The following is a 17,783-nucleotide window of genomic DNA, read 5'->3' as shown; positions in this document are numbered from 1 at the left end:
TGAGAACACATTACTGCACTCCAGCCTGGGTGACAGAATTAGACACGGTCTCAAGCAAACTAACAAACAAAAGAATATTTCATAGCAGAAAGTGGAATAAAAAAATCTAATTTTGCACAATTTTTATGACCAAATTGATTATAACTTCTCTTATTACCAAACTGAACAGAAAAAGAACTCTCTGAATCTTGTGAGGGAAGACTGATAAATGCTGAATCTGACAATGATAATATTCACTTGATTTGACTCACATTTCTACACAAGTAAATTGCCTCTTCATATTTCTCTAGCAGAACATCATGAGAATTAGTAAACCTAGAATAAATTGTTAGAAGATAGTGCAAGGAATAAATGTCACCAATTTGTGTTTATTTCTAAGCAAAATGGACATTTTAGAAAATAAACAAACACTGGGATGATCTGGGATCTCTGGGGTCAGGAAAGGAGGACCTTCTGTCTTAACCCACAATAACGCTGACAGCCAACATTTTGTGAACTTGAGGAAAAATTGGAACAGAAAGACTCTCAAAGGGACTTTGATGCCGCAGGAAATTAATAAGGTGAAGAAGTCTGTTCTTCCGTCACTATTTTTGAAGGGGATTACATCGATGTCATCTAAAAAACCCCAAGGCATACATCTTTAGCACCCATCAGTGAAGGGAAACTTCAAGGAGATTCCTCAGTCCTCTCTTCCCATTTGCCTATTATTTTTAACAGGTTAGATTGCCGGCTCTTGTTTGCTATTTGGTGTGAGTATCAGCAGCACTAGCACACTCAGGCACTGACACCTTCACGTACAAGTAACACGGGGCTCCGATCTCCGTGCTGGTGCTCACTGCTCATTCGAAACATGGGTGTAAATTGAATACTCAGGGAAAAAGATAGAATTTCTTACGATGCTATTGTAAAATCCCATGCTTGGCCGGGCACAGAGGCTTATATCTGTAATCCCAGCACTTTGGGAGGCCGAGGCGGGCAGATCACCTGAGGTCAGGAGTTCAAGACCAGCCTGACCAACATGGAGAAACCTCGTCTCTACGAAAATACAAAAATTAGCTAGGCATGATGGTGTGCGCCTATAATCCCAGCTACCCAGGAGGCTGAGGCAGGAGAATTGCTTGAACCCAGGAGGCGGAGGTTGCAGTGGGCCGACATCACGCCATTGTACTCCAGCCTGGGGAACACAGCAAGAGTCTGTCTCAAACATAAATGAAATGAAATGAAATGAAATAAAATAGAATAAAATCCCATGTTCCCCCAGACAAGTTGCACTTGAGAAATCAATCAATCTCTCCTTGCCTGCAGAAAGAGCACTACTAAACGTACAATGTTTACATTTTGCCCTATTTCCTTCACGCACTGGCATATCACCCTCTGACTGCAACCAGTCAGCATCCATGCTGTAAACAAACAGACTCTGGACCTAGTATCCAAAATAGTAAGAAGTTTTCCAGGATTTCCAAGGATGAAATAATAATACTCATGTAAAAAGCAAGCCTCTGTTCAGAGTCATGAGTCTAATTCTTTGTTATTCTTCTATGATAACACACAAAACGGCAATTGCTGAATGAAAGAGCAGTGGAGGCACAACGAAGGAACTCGAAGTGATTACTGCAGGAATACTTCCATGAGATCAGTACATTATTATGACTTGGCCTGGGAATTTTGAAAAGAAAGAATTTGACCATTTCTCTGAAAGCTGAAAGGCTGCCTAAACCACATTTAACCAATCAGAATATGGATTGGAAATGTGTTCTTGATGTCAGTGTGTGGAACACTGAGCAATCGGCCAAATGTGCTATGATGTGCTTATAATGACTTTCCCCCAGGAACTTACGACCTGTCAATTGCAGCCAATTTGTATTGTCTTCTCTAGAATAGATTATCCCAGGATAGCTCTCATAGATGCTTTGATGAATTTTCTTTGTTTTGACTCCAGCAACACTGTGTGTTTGGGCATTATTTTGTTTCCCCTTTCTTGTTAAAAAGAAAACGAACCCATAATGAACTTTCTTAAATGTAAGCATGCTACTGTTTCCATTCAGCTGAACTAATAAAATGAGTATTAATAGGAAACGTTTTGATGGATTCCTTCTAAATGATGATGATTATTGGATGTCTTTAAATGTATTTTAAATGGGGGATGGCGTGCTATCAAAAACCTCTTTTGCTACTTTCTGTGTTTGTGAATAGATAAGCTCAACAACAAAAAGGGAAGTATTTTTTTCTTTGTAATTTATAATAAAATAAAACCAGATTGTTTTGACATTTTTACTATTTTTTTAAAAATAGCTGTCTGAAAATAAAACAAAACTAAACCCTTCTTTTATATCCATATTTTGAGGATTCATCTTTATAGAGTTTCAGACTGGTTATTAATAAATTTGACAAAATTTATTGTCAATATATATGATTTTTCGGCAGAGCAAAATTTACTAATTACTATTTAACCAAAATGCTTTTTAAATAATATTTATCCTCAGACTAATCCCCAGGATTCTAATTTTTTACCAAAGAACCATGTAGACAGAGCTGTGATCACAGTGATTTTTGTTTACCCACATTTTAATTGATTACTTTGCTGCTCTCTAAAATATTCATTGAGTGTAATTTGTTGCTGGCCATATGTACACAGTAGTGTTGTCCAGATCTCAAAGAGATCAGAAAACATCTGAAAGTAGTGTTGCTTTTACCTGATGACACACACTATGAATTCCCGGGGGACACATGAGGAGTGAATGGCACTGGTGTAGGTCATCAGCTGGCCAGCCAACTTCACCCGGAGAACACGTCCCAAGCTCCCAGGCCTCCAGTTCCACTGCTCCCCTGAGGTCTTGTCATCAGTGTCTTTCCTCTATGATGCAATACTCTAGTCTCTGGTCTCCCTGATGTGACTTCTGTCCAATTCTGTCAAAAACACAAATAAGGTCTTATCACAGCCTGGAAACTCCTCCAAGGACTGGCATCTAAAATGCTTGTACAGCCCACAGGCCACTGCAGAGTTGGGTGCTTTCTTGCCTCCCTAAATTCATCTCCTATCACCCTCCTCCATTCTCTGTGCCAGAGCTCAGTTGGCCTCCCCTTTTCTCAAATATACTGAGCTTCTTGCTTCCTCCAGACCATTGCACTAGCTATTTTCTCTGCTTGGAAATCTTTTTCTCTAGAATTTGCCATGGCTTACTCTTTTTTAGGACAATATTGTTTCAGTTCAATGTGATCTTTTGAGGGCCTTTGCTCATCACTCAACCTAAAATAACACCCCACTCAATGACGCTCCATTAGAAGCTATCATAAGACTCAGTTTTATTTTCCTCATACTGTTTATCACATGGTCTCTAGGTTTTCATTTTGCTGTTTATTTGTTTACTATATATTTCCTCCTCTGAAGTAAATTTCAGAAGGCTTTGTCAATCCTGTATTCCAAGTGTTTAGACCATTGTCCTGTACAGAATAGTTTTTTAAAAATTTTTGTATTGATACATAATAGATGTACATATTTTCAGGACACGTGATAATTTAATACATTGATAAAATTTGTAAAGATCAACTCAATATAATTGAACTATCCATCACCTTAAATATTTGTCTTTATTTTAGAAATATTCAAATTATTTTCTTCTATTTTGAAGTATACATTAGATTATTGTAAACTATAGTCACCCTACTGCTCTGTCAAATACTGGGTCTTACTTCTTCTGTCAGAATGTATATTTGTACCCATTTATCAACCTCTCTTCATACTTCCCTCCCCACTACCTTTCCTGGGCCCTGGTAACCACCAATACACTCTTTGTCTTCATGAGATTTACCTTTTGAACCCCCACAGATGCATGAGAACATGAGATATTTGTCTTTCTATGCCTGGCTTATTTCATTTGATATAATGACCTCCAGTTTCATCCATGTTGCTGCAAATGACAGAATTCTTTTTTATGACTGAATGGTATTTAATTATGTATATGTACTACATTTTTGTTATCCATTCATCTATTGATAGACACATAGGTTGATTGGCTTTGTGAATAGTGTTGTAATCAAGATGGGCATGCAGATGTCATCAATATACTAATTTCCTTTCTTTTGGATAAATACCCAGCAGTACAATGGAGCTGGATCATATGGTAGCTCAGTTTTTAGGTTTTTAATGAGGAACCTCCATACTGTTGTCTGTAGTGGCGGTACTAGTTGATATTCCCACCAACAATGTACGAAGGTTTCCCTTTTCTCTAAATCGTTACCACTATGCATTATTGCCTGTCTTTTTGATAAAAGCCATTTTAACTGGGATGAGAGTATGTCTCAGTTTTAGATCACATTTCTCTGATGATTAGTGATGCTGAACATTTTTTTCATATACCTGTTGGCCATTTATCTGTTTTCTCTTAAGAACTAACTGATAAGATGTTTTGCCCATTTTTAAACTGGATTATTGTGGTTTTTTTTTTTTTGCTGTTGAGTTGTTTGAGTTACTTATATATTCTAGTTATTAATATTGTCACATGGGTAGTTTGCAAATTTTTTTTTTTTTTAGTTTTTTAGACAGAGTCTCTCTCTGTCGCCCAGGCTGGAATGCAGTGGCATTATCTCAGCTCACTGCAAGCTCTGCCTCCCAGGTTCACACCATTCTCCTGCCTCAGCCTCCTGAGTAGCTGGGACTACAGGTGCCCATCACCACACCTGGCTAATTTTTTTTTTGTATTTTTAGTAAAGACAGGGTTTCACCATGTTAGCCAGGATGGTCTCGATCTCCTGACCTCTTGATCCGCCCGCCGCGGCCTCCCAAAGTGCTGGGATTATAGGCGTGAGCCACCGTGCCTGGCCTCAAATTTTTTTTTTTTAATTATTTTTTAGATTGTCTCTTCACTTTGTTGATTGTTTCCTTTGCTGTGCAGAAGCTTTTTAGTTTGATGTAATTCTGTATCTCTAACTGTGCTTGGGTTGCCTGTGCTTTTGAGATCTTACACAAAAAATATTTGCCCTGACCAATGTCCTGGAGCATTTCTCCATTGTTTTCTTCCGGTAGTTTTATAGTTTCAAGTCTTAGATTTAAGTATTTAATCCATTTTGATTTGGTTTTTGTATATAGTGAGAGACAGGGGTCTAGTTTCATGATTCTGTACATGGTTATCCAGTTTTCCTACCATCATTTTTGAAAAGACTCTGTTTTACCCATTGTATATTTTTGGTGACTTTGTAAAAAATGAGTTGGTTGTAAATGTGTGGGTTGATATCTGGGTTCTCTATTCTGTTCCATCAGTGCATGCATGAGTTTTTATGCCAGTACCATGTTGATTTGGTTACTATAGCATTGTAGTATATTTTGGAGTCAGGGAATGTGATGCCTCCAGTTTTGTTCCTTTGCTCAGTATTGCCATGGCTACTTGGTGTGTTTGTAGTTCCATATACATTTTAGGATTTTTTTTCCTGTTTCTGTAAAGACTGTTATTGATATTTTGATAGAGATTGCACTGAATCTGTAAATTACTTTGAGTATGTTCATTTTAGCAATACTACTTCTTTCAATCCAAGAGCACTGTATATCCTTCCATATTTTCGTGTCCTCTTCAATTTTTTTCATCAGTATTTCATAGTTTTCCTTGTGTGGATCTTTCACTTTTTTACTTAAATTAATTCTTAGGTGTTTTATATTCTTTGAAGCTGTTGTAAATGAGATTGTGTTCTTGATTTCTTTTTCAGATTGCTTGCTATTGGCATATAAAACTGTTACTGATATTTGACCAGATGCAGTGGCTCACTCCTGTAGTCCCAGCACTTTGCGAGGCAGTAAATCACCTGAGCTCAGGAGTTTGAAACCAGCCTGGACAACATGGCAAAACCCTGTCTCTACAAAAAAATACAAAAATTAGCTGGATGCAGTGGCGTGTGCCTGTAGTCCCAGGTACTCAGGAGGCTGAGGCAGGAGAATTGCCTGATCCCAGTAGGTGAAGGTTGCAGTGAGCTGAGATCACATCATTGCACTCCAGCCTGGGTGACATTTGTAAAACCCTGCCTCAGAAAAATAAAAAAGTTACTGATATTTGTATGCTGATTTTTTATTCTGCAACTTTACTGAATACATTTATCAGTTCTAACTGATTTTGCTGGAGTCTTTAGGTTTTTCTAAGTATAACATTGTGCCATCTGCAAACAAGTCTAATTTGACTTCTTCCTTTCCAATTTGGATGCCCTTCATTTCTTTTTCTTGCTTAATTGCCCTGGCTCAGACTTGCAGTATTACATTGAATAAAAATGATGAAAGTGGACCTTCTTGTCTTGTTCCAGATCTCTGGGGAAAGGCCTTCAAATTTTTCCCATTCAGTATGATGTTAGCTGTGGGTTTGTCAGATATAGTCTTTATCATTTCGGGATGTGTTCCTTCTATCCAGATTATTGAGGGTTTTTATAATAAAGAATTGTTGAATTTTACTGAATATTTTTTCAGCATCTATTGAAATAATCATACAGTTTTTGCTTCTGGTTCTGTTAATATGATGTATCCTGTTTATTGATTTGCATATGTTGAACCATCCTTGCATTCCTAGGCTGAATCCCACTTAATCATGGTGAATGATCTTTTTAATGTGTTGTTGACTTCAGCTAACTAGTTGAGGGTTTTTGCATCTAAGTTCATCAATGATATTGGCTTGTGATTTTTTTTATTTTTTATTTTATTTTTTTGAGACAGAGTCTCACTCTGTGGCCCAGGCTGGAGTGCAGTGGTGCAATCTCAGCTCACTGCAACCTCCAGCTTCTGGTTTCAAACAATTCTCCTGCCTCAACCTCCTGAGTAGCTGAGACTACAGATACCTGCCACTATGCCTGGCTAATTTTTTGTATTTTTAGTAGAGACGGGGTTTCACCATGTTGGCCAGTATGGTCTCAAACTCCTGACCTCGTGATCTGCCCACCTTGGCCTCCCAAAGTGCTGGGATTACAGGTGTGAGCCACTGTGACTGGCCATTATTATTTTTTTATTTTGTCCTTGTCTGGCTTAAATGCCCTCTTCACTGGGGAGGACAGAGATGGGGAATGCAGAAGTAAATAATTTTCAGGGGAAATGAATGAGCCCAAAGAACAACGGCCTAGGACAAAGTTTCTGTGAGCTCCAGGGAGGTAGCCTCACAGGCTATGGGAGAATGAGGGGAGGAAATGTTGTCAATCAGAGCTGATCTTGTTATGCAAATGAAGCACTAGCTCTCAAAAAGAACAGATGCAAGGCTATAGTCTCAGATACTCAGGAGGCTGGGGTGGGAGGATCACTGGAGGCCCAAGAGTTTGAGACAAGCCTGGGCAACATAGCAAAATGCAATCTTTAAAAAAAAAGAAAAAAAAAAAAAGAATAGATGGGGGCCTGTCATCAGACTCTTAAAAATATTAGACTTTTGGTCTCTCCTGTGTATTTTTCCTACATTTGGACAAGGGTGGGCTTAGAAAAAGACTTTTTGTATCTGCTATTTACTTTGCTGTAGATTTTTCTCTACATGTGCAAACGTTCCATAAAAAAGACAACTTTCCAAATCTGTTCCTGTGGTTTGCAGCTTCTCTGAATAGCCATCTTGAAGCATGCCAAAGAAATATATTTTGGGTGAAATATTTTGCTTTCCTTCACAGTTTTACCCATCGCAGTTAATGGCAAATCCATTCTTCTTGTTCCTGAAGCCAAATGATGGACTCCTCCATCTTTCTTACCTCTTCTATATCCAGTTTTTTAGGAAAACCTATATGCTTTTACCTTTTAAATGTATCCAAGACCTGGTACATATCAGTCCCTCCACAGTTACAACCTTGGTGCAGCCACCCTTGTATCTCACCTGGATTATTTCAGTGGCCTCTCAACAGTTCTCCAGTACTTCCAGCCTTGATCTACTGAAGTTTCAACACAAAACCAGAATAATCCTCCAAAAATTCAGCAGCGATCACGTCACTTCTCAGCTTAAACTTCCAGTGGGTTCCTATTTCTCTTCAATTAAAAGCTCAAGACTTCGCATCACAGTGGTTTGCAAGATCCTGCACGGTCAGCCTTGCTCTATCACTCCAGTTAATTTCTTCCTGCCCTCTTCTTGTCCTGTCACAGAGCATGGACCCCTCTTATTCCTGGAGTGATCACATTCCTCCTACAGAGTTTTTGCACTGGCTGCTGCCTCTATGTACAAGTTTAATACCTTTCATGTCCCCACAGAAATTTCTCTTTTTTTTTTAAAAAAAAAAAAAGTGTTTTAGTGTTGCCTTCTCAAGGAGGCTTATCCTGTCTACACCAATGAACTTCTACTCATACTATCCCTCCCCTACTCCCTGCAGTCTCCATTCCCCTTGTTCGACTCTTTTCTCTTGTTGCACTTATCACCTTCAAAATATGTTTGTTGTGTATATTATTATTATTGCTGTTGTTGTTGTTATTTTGAGACGGAGTTTCACTCTTGTCTCCCAGGCTGGAGTGCAGTGGCGCGATCTCGGCTCACTGCAATCTTTCGGGTTCAAGCAATTCTCCTGCCTCAGCTTTCCGAGTAGCTGGGACTACAGGCACCCGCCACAACCACGCCCGGCTAATTTTTTGTATTTTTTGTCCAGACGGGGTTTCGCCTTGTTGGGCAGGCTGGTCTCAGACTCCTGACCTCAGGTAATCCGCCCGCCTTGGCCTCCCAAAGTGGTGGGATTACAGGCGTGAGCCACCGCGCCCGGCCTGTTATGTATATTATATGTTATCTTTCACTTACTTGAGAGGAGACTAGTGTGATTAACAAACATTTGTGAATGAGTAAGTGAATAAATGAATGAATGAACCTCACTTTTTCTTTCTGAGGGAGCTACACTGTATTATAAATTTAGTATAAAAAGAGACCTAGTATCTTTCAGTAACAATTCTCCATTCTTAGTTATACAAGTTTATATAGCTCTAAAATGGCCTGAGTCTTTTAAGCCTTTTCCATATTTTTTAGAAAGATATTGCTGGGGCTCATAAAATGACACCCCAAAGTGAAGGCCTCAGAGATGGCCTCAGAAGCAAGCTCAGTGGCAAAAAACCCTCCCTGACTTTCTTCTGCCCTTATGTCTCTGAGCCTCATTCTCTCTTGAGGCTAGACAGAGAAACTAGAAATTTTCTTTCCCTAAGGTGCGTCAGAGAAACCAAAACCCCTTCTCCCAAAGACAGCCATAAAACCTAAGAATATTATTCTAACTTTCCCCCACCATTCTGTGTAAGAACTGGCCATAAAGAAACTGTGACCTACCTTGTTTGACTGTGGGTCAGAAGATCCCCATTCCAGAGAAGTTCCTGCCCCACACCAGAAGGAAAGGAAGCTGCTCACAGGGGCCAGGAAGAGTCTGGGTGTCCCCACTCAGCCTATTAGCAGTAGATCACACCCTTTAGTTGACTCGTATTTCTACACGCATGTCCATACTTTGTTGTACCTGTCTTAGAGCATCGCCTGGTCTGGTGTTGCATAAAAATGGACAATTTCTCATGTGTCTTTGGGTCTTCATTCTTCATGTAAAACTGTGATCAAACAAATTGGCATGCCATTTCTCCTGTTAATTCGCCTTCTGCCTGTTGATTTTTAGCAAACCTTCAGATGGTGAAGGGGAAGTTTGCACTTTACCCCCACAATATTCCAGCAAATAAGTTTAAAGATGATTTAGAAAATAACTACTATGTCTAGAATGAAAGGCTTCTCTTGAGTTCACAGACACCTGAAAAGATAGGCAAAATTCAAAAATAAGAACAAAATTCCAAATATGAATTTGTATGTGTAATTTCTATTTGGCTTATGAAAAAGCTACATTCCAAAAAATGAATCATTATAAATGAGCTTATGCTATAATCCTGTCAGACCCCATTTTCCAGGCTTTCTAATAATCAAAGAAGCTGTTAATCTAAATGTCTAATTTGTGCAGGACTCATGCTGAATTCAGTGAAATGGCCATTTAATCAAGTCTTTCTTATTTCCTATTTTCTTTATCTTTTATTGCCTTTAATAAGCGAGGTGATCTTCATTCTGAGTCTATAGAACGGTAACTCAAGATGAACTCTTGAACGTGAAATCTGATCGCTGTCTGTGTGATCTGTCTACTTAACGTGAGTACTGGTGGCTCTGACGTAGTACATTTTGTCATGTCTCTAAAAGATTTCTACATCTATATTGAGCTTTTTCATGCAGAAAAATTTTAGTTCATTAGTAAACAAAAGAGAAAAATGTACTCATAAAAGTACAAATAAACCCCTTTACTGTTCAACAACCCTATATGTTTATTAAGGCTACAAATTTCATCTGCAGGACCTGGATCTTGAGTGCTCTGTGTTGGAAAAAATACCACATAGCTGCCTGGGCACTTCCTAAAACATGAGACACACTGGCTGCAGGGTTTCTTTTGGAGTTTGTTGTCCAACTTAAACTGAAATCATGACTCAAGTTTTATAAGTAAATGGCACTTAGAAATCAATATTTCATTAAGAATTACATTGTTCAATATATACATGAATGTTCACAGATATGAAGTGTAAATGGTTCTCTATATGACATGAAGATTTGTTGTCACTCATAATGTATGTAATGTTTATATTTTCAGGAAAAAAAACCTCCTCAATACAGATTGATGCCCATTAATGACAACACTTAATCTGAAAAATCAGTCCAGGAATTCTGGCATAACTAATGATGTCATCTTCATGAAGATGTTTAGAACCAGAATTTTAATTACATTTCCCAAATGTTTTACTACTATTTCATTTTAAACAAGAGTATGAAAATTCAAATAGTCAAATACTTTCTTTCTAGTTAAAATTTCAACATTTCCTTTAGCCATGCTAGTGAGCAGATTAGCAGAGACTGTAAGAAATCAGGAGTTCACTTAACGCTATCTATCGAGTTCTCATCTCTGAAATCAGGAGTTGACTTAACGCTATCTATCGAGTTCTCATCTCTGAAATCAGGAGTTGACTTAACGCTATCTATTGAGTTCTCATCTCTGAAATCAGGAGTTGACTTAATGATATCTATGGAGTTCTCATCTCTGAAACCAGGAGTTGACTTAATAATATCTATGGAGTTCTCATCTCTGAAATCAGGAGTTGACTTAATAATATCTATCTAGTTCTCATCTCTAAATCAGGAGTTTACTTGATATCTATCTAGTCCTCCTTGGTATCACAAAGAATTCCTGCTCAAATACAGTTTTAAGTAGTTTTTCACCAAACAATCTATCACCTAAATAGAACTTATTTTGAAAGTTGGTATCACATAAAAATGAGGAGTCTGAGATGGTAGGTCTTCCTGTTTTCCTTTCTTCTTCTTGTAGTCTTTCGGAAAATGATTTTGGTATAGAAAAATATAAAATAAATGAAACAGGACTTCACATACTCTTGGGATAGAAGCACCCCAGGATCCCAAGATACTCCAGTTATCGTCATGCCATAGTTCAGAGGACTGGCAGCAATTGTTTAGAATAAGGATAATTTATTATAGCATTTATTGATATCATAAGTTAGACAGGCCCCATTCCCTGAAACATACATTTAATTATATTTTCTCAATTTTCTTTTAGAAACTTTAAAGTCAGAGCCATTATATGTATAAGATTAAAAGTTCTATCGTGATAATTGACCTACTCTCAAAATCGAGTCAATCTCAATAGATAATAAAGAAGGAGATAAGGCATCCCCAATTCTAATATTTGTGATAAAGAACAAACAGCAGTTGGAAATATAAAGAAGGTGCATTCTGATCATGTGTTTCTTGCTGGACCTTACCAAGAAATAAGGAGCAATACCAGACCAGACGATGCTCTAAGACAGTGCTTGCTTCAGCTCCTTTCCAGATAATAACTATTCCAATGTGGTGTAAGCATGTGAGTATATTACCTGAGACAGTGGAATTAAAATTCAAAACTTGCTAGTCATGAGACTTCTGTTATAAAGGGAAATTACTTCATATTTTTAAATATGGACTTCTTTAATAGCTGAAATGAGCTTCTGTAAAAGAAGGATTGTTGCTTGAAAGGGTTGTGAGATTTAAATTAGAAAAACATATCAATTTAGGTAGCACGTGATAGTAATGCAGTAGACGGTCACTTCCTCTCATCTTATTATTTATCTGTGTTTGCAGTAACCATAAGGGAGCTGTATAACGTAGTGGTTAAGAGAGCAGTTTCCGGAGCCTACGTAATAAAAACAAACAAAAACAAAAATAATGACAGCAATAGAGACAAACTGGGTTTAAATATAGAATCAAACAGTAGTTTTGACCTTACTCAGTGTTCCTTCATTGCTGAGATAAGGATAATAATAGTGTTAATGCTCTCCAGATTCACAGCACCAGGAAACTTGTAGTTGGAGAACTGGTTTATTGAAATGTTCCAGTGCGGGGCAACTCACATCATGGGGATCTGGGGGCCACATCAGTAAGAGAATATTAGAAAGAACTGGCAGAATTGGGGTTTATCCTAAGTGATTTAGGAAAAGGCTCAAAGAAGGAAAGCTTTGTTCTGGATGGGATGCTTTTCAGGAGCAGTGGCATTTTTGTGACTCAGTATCTTAATAATTCTCATCCAGAAGACAGGAGGAACAGAGAAGGCTAAAGCTATCACTGGTAAAGCAGCAGCAGCCTCTCACTTTAGCCAGGATAAGAGGATGTTTGGTGAATTTTGTGGTTTGGAAAATGTTCTTGTTTCTGTCTGGGTTCAGACATGCCTCTGGAGTGGTGATGTTTTTGCCTGGATCCATCCTGGTCAGAGAGTGGTCCTAGCTGATGCTAACGCTGATGCTCTGTGAAATAGTTTATGTGCACAGGAGAACATCAAGGCCCAGCTCATAATGCCAAGCTAGCTCCCAGCTGCCAGAGGCTGTTTTTCTCTTTCTCAGCAGTAATAACCAAAATATGAAAATTCACTTTATCAGCCTAATACCTGATACCTCAAAATGTGTTACCTATTTTTATTTTCATCTTGTACCCAGATTTTTGCCAAGGCAGTCTTAATTTAAAATATTTTGTCTCATTATCTATAGACTTGATTTTTTATTATGTAAATAGGCATATTTACATAATATGCCCCCTAAAAGGATGAAAAATGACATCTGCCATAGTTATTTCTCAGCTTTATGGGTTTTGCCCAGTTGAAAAGAACCTAAGAAGATGACTGAATATATTAATGGATAGATAGAATTGAATAGAGGTTAAGAGCATGGTCTCTGTCTGGACTTAGTCTGCCTGGATTTAAACCCTGGCTCAATCTCAAGCTGACTATATAACCTTGGAAAAATTTTTTTGAACCTTCTGTGCTTTATTATCTTCTGATCTAAAATAATTAAAATAATACAGACCTCATAGTGTCTGCAAGAGGATTAAAGAAAATAAAACTTATGAAGTGCTTAGAACCAGTGTCTGGGACATAAAAAACATTAGCAGTAATGTTTAATAAATGTGAGCTATCAGATTAGGTTGCCATTTAACTCTGGCCATTTCATCTAATGATGAGGCATTCTGGATTTGTTGAGTGTTGATTAAAACAACATATAATTCCCAACCATGAAGGATAAAAAATAATAAAACAACAAATATTCATTGCTTGCAATTCTGCCAGAAACTGCAAAAGATATGTAGAAATTGCCTCAGTTCCTGCTTTTAAGGAGTCTGCTATCTCACTGAGAAGTACATGAAGAGATAAATACCTAAAGAAGCCTGTAAGGATTAAGTACAAATGACTGTCACTGACAATAAGAATTGCAATGCTTTTATAGAAGAAGAATTAGCTTTTAGCTAGGGAAGACTGGCAAAATGTAGTGGAAGAGATGGCCGATGAGCTGAGTCCTGAAAGATTTATGGAATTTGATCATTCAGATGACAAAAGAGCACTCTAGACAGATCTTCAGGTGCAAATACGCATGAGAGGTCAGATAATAAAAGTTACAACAGCAGCAACAATACAGAAACGAAAGGTAAGTAGATCACGCATGGAGCATAAAGCCAAGCACTGTGCTAAGCCCTTTTTATCATTTCATCTAGTCTTACGACCTTGTAGGAAAGGTAGCATTATTATCCCCCCTCAGTGAGGAAAACCACATTTAGACAGTTTAATTCACGTGTTTGAGGCTGCTCAACTAGCATGTGCTGGGTCACAGTTTAACCCAGATCCAAAGGGCTCCTTCAACAATCTTTGCATGCATTGTATCACTTGGGGTCCCCAATATCTAGTCCAAGTCAGTGTGACTGTGGTCGGATTATGCAAGACATTTAATGCGCTGTCAAGGAAGTTTTGTTTTTTCTTTTATAGAAGGGGGTGATCCATCGCCATTTGGTGCAGTGAAGTGACATGATTATTTTGTAAGGATATTTTAATCAATAATTCTATCTTTTATATTTACACACGTATTCTTAAAACACTGGATCACCCCATTCCCAATGATTTTACATAATCACACTGAACTGTTATTTCTTATAAAGAAAAACCTAAGAGGGTAAAATTGTATTCGACAAATTTTCCTTTCATTCTCATTTGTAGAAGAAGCTTGGCACAAAGCTACAATCCAGATCACATATGAATACTTTGCTCATGAGAATATGAAGCATGTTTTTCCTCAGATTTTAAGCCTCACAGACAGGGACACAGCCCACACATATAGGCCACAGAGAAATTAAAAACAATTAAATCATTAGAATTAGATTTAGCAATGGCAATCAAAGAGCAATCCATCTAGAATTATGCTGTTTGGTTGATTGTTCACAAAGCAACAAAAGGGGCTAATATTGCTTAATTTGAAAAAAAGGCAAACTGAAGTTTATTTTAACCAATAAACCCATCTGTGTTAAGCATCCAGCTGCTCCCCTTCCATTTGCTAATTACCAAAATGTCCATAATTTATTCATCTCAGGATACACTTATACATCTGTAGGATCATTACTTTGGCGTGTGTAATTGTCTTTGAAATTAAATAAACCAATGAACAAGAGAAAAGATAAAACTCAAGGGAGAGCTATAGATTTAGCAAAAGATGTTGTTGGATACTAAATAAATTCCAAAACCAAAGAACTTTTATCAAACGGCCAATAGTAACCATTGCATCAGTTGCCCATCATTCCTAAATTTAAATCCTCTAAATGTACATTTGTCATTCTGTGGATTATATTAAATTCACCTCTTCATAGGCTTCTCAATATTTCAATTACCTTTTAAAATTTCACAGAAGCAAAGATCTTGAAAAATAACACTATTCTCAAACCATCATCCTAGCTACCCAGGACTGATTCTGATAGTTGAAAGTTGAGTTCCCTCAAAGGTGTACAAATCTGCATTCTACAGATTACATGTGTGGTTTGGAATTTGCCTTTTAAAATATTAATTAGTATTTCTTTAATTTTAACTTTTTGACTTCCTTCTTTCTGGAACATTCAAGTCTATGAAACCCTTACTATTCTCCCCATCTCCCTGTGATGGAATGAGCCACTGGGAATTGTCTGGGCCTCCATGACTGGAGAGGCCAGCATGACTATCTTACACTGATGAAGGGCACTGGCTCTAGGTAGGGAAGACCTGAGTTTGAACCACTGCCCTATCATTTAGTGACTATGGGACTTTGGACAAATTATTCACGTTTTCTGATTTTTAATTCTCTCCTTTGTAAACAATCCCAGCTCATGAAAATGTTATGTGAAACAATGAACATATATTTTCAATATGTATTTTCATAATACTTTGAACAATGTCTGCAATAATAATACTCAATAAATGTGAACTCTTATGTTGCAAGTGAACTCAAGCATCAGTAAATTACTGAACTAGAAGACTTTTAATGTCTTTTCCAATGCTGGGGTGATATACTACTCTGATTTTCTGGATTACTTCCTCGTACCTCTCATTTTGCAGGTAACTGATACCACCCGTTTTGCTATTTACCTTCACAGGTGTCTATCTTATTTTCACCCAGATAATAATTTCCTTGAAGGCAGGCAGTGTGTCATATGTTATTGTTATTTTCCCCAGGGCACTATGGAGCACAATTTCCTATACAGAGCAGATTTTCTAAATGTAATTCTGTTGATGATACTGATAAGTGCCTTAGACACACTTCTCTCCCATCCTGTCAGTAGTAATTAATTAAGATTACCTAGATGTCTCTGTTATTCCTCGAGAGTAAGGTAAGTGCCTTGAAGAGTGTGGGAGGCCACACAGTGTTCTAAAGGTTCCTTTTATTCTCCAAGAGGAGTTTAGGCACCAGAAACATATGGCATATTAAATGAGAATTTACTTGTTTTTTGCCTGAATTTGCCTAAAAATTCATAGAGTGACATTTGCCTAAAAATTCATAGAGCTTTGAAACAAATAATACTTTGATGGCTTCCTGCATCTGTAACACTGAGGAAAATCAAGTGCTGTTTTTCAGATAGTTTGAAAATACTTGTAAAGGGTGGTTTCAGAGCTAATATGAAAAAAGGAACAGGACTCACTGCAGGGCACAGATGGTTCCAAAGGACTGTGCAAGCATCAGCAGGACACACTAAGCTCTGAAACAGCCTGTATTTGTCTATTCTCATGCTGCTAATAAAGATATACCCCAAACTGAGTAATTTATAAAGGAAAGAGGTTTAATGCACACACAGTTCCACATGGCTGGAGAAGCCTCACAATCATGGTGGAAGGCAAAGGAGAAGCAAAGTCATGTCTTACACGGCAGCAAGCAAGAGAGCATGTGCAGGGCAGCTGCCCTTTAAAAAACCATCAGATCTTGTGAGACTCATGCACTATCATGAGAACGGCGTGGGAAAGACCCGCCCCCGTGATTCCATTACCTCTCACCGGGTGTTTCCCACTACATATGTGGGCATTGTGAGAGCTACAATTCAAGATGAGATATGGGTGGGAACACAGCCAAACTATATAATTCTGTCCCTGAGCCCTCCCAATTCTCATGTCCTTACATTTCAAAACCAATCATGCCTTCCCAACAGTCCCCTGAAGTCTTAACTCATTTCAGCATTAACTCAAAAGTCCACAGTCCAAGGTCTCATCTGAAACAAGGCTAGTCCTTGCCACCTATCAGCCTGTAAAATCAAAAGCAAGTTGGTTACTTCCTAGATACAATGGGGGTACAGCCATTGGGTAAATACGTTGGTTACTTCCTAGATACAATGGGGGTATAGCCATTGGGTAAATACAGCCATTCCAAATGGGAGAAATTGGCCAAAACAAAGGGAATACAGGTACCATGCAAGTCTGAAATCCAGCAGGGCAGTCAAATCTTAAAGCTCTAAAATGATCTCCTTTGACTCTATGTCTCACATCCAGGTCATGCTGATGACCTGGTGGGCTCCCACAGCCTTGAACATCTCTGCCCCTGTGGCTTTACAGGGTACAGCCCCACTCCTGGCTGCTTTCCCAGGCTGGCATTGCGTGTCTGTGGCTTTTCCATGTGCACCGTGCAAGCTGTTGGTGGATCTACCATTCTGGGGTCTGGAGGATGGTGGCCCTTTTCTCACAGCTCCACCAGGCAGTGCCCCAGTGGGGACTCTGTGTGGGACCTCCCACACTACATTTTCCTTCTGTGCTGCCCTAGCAGTGGTTCTCCATGAGGGCTCTGCTCCTGCAGTGCACCTCTGCCTGGACATTGAGGAATTTCCGTACATCCTTTGAAATCTAGGCTGAGGTTCCCAAAGCTCAGTTCTTGACTTCTGTGCCCCTGAAGGCCCAACACTGCAGGTAGGATGCCAAGGCTTAGGGCTTGCACCCTCTGAAGCAATGGTCTGAGTTGTACGTTGGCCCCTTTTGGCCATGGCTGGGATGCCAGCCACCAAGTCCTG

General features: G+C 38.5%; 1 long non-coding RNA gene across 3 annotated transcripts in view; it reads right to left on the bottom strand.

The window, feature by feature from the left end:
• Positions 1 to 348: 348 nt before the first annotated feature.
• LOC107983963 (uncharacterized) overlaps positions 349 to 17,783 on the bottom strand; it is a 42,518-nt gene continuing 25,083 nt past the window's right edge. For 2 of the 3 annotated variants that reach the window (XR_939608.2, XR_939610.2), the window contains 2 exons: positions 9,228 to 9,687; positions 2,415 to 2,907 (listed from right to left, as the gene is read on the bottom strand). This is a non-coding gene — a long non-coding RNA (uncharacterized LOC107983963). Of the gene's footprint in view, positions 2,908 to 9,227; positions 9,688 to 17,783 lie in introns of all 3 variants that reach the window. The other variant, XR_939607.3, reaches the window with a different exon arrangement.

The sequence above is a fragment of the Homo sapiens genome, chromosome 4, assembly GCF_000001405.40.
Source record: "Homo sapiens chromosome 4, GRCh38.p14 Primary Assembly".
NCBI classification, from domain to species: domain Eukaryota; kingdom Metazoa; phylum Chordata; class Mammalia; order Primates; family Hominidae; genus Homo; species Homo sapiens.
This window is presented reverse-complemented; position numbering and strand designations above follow the sequence as displayed.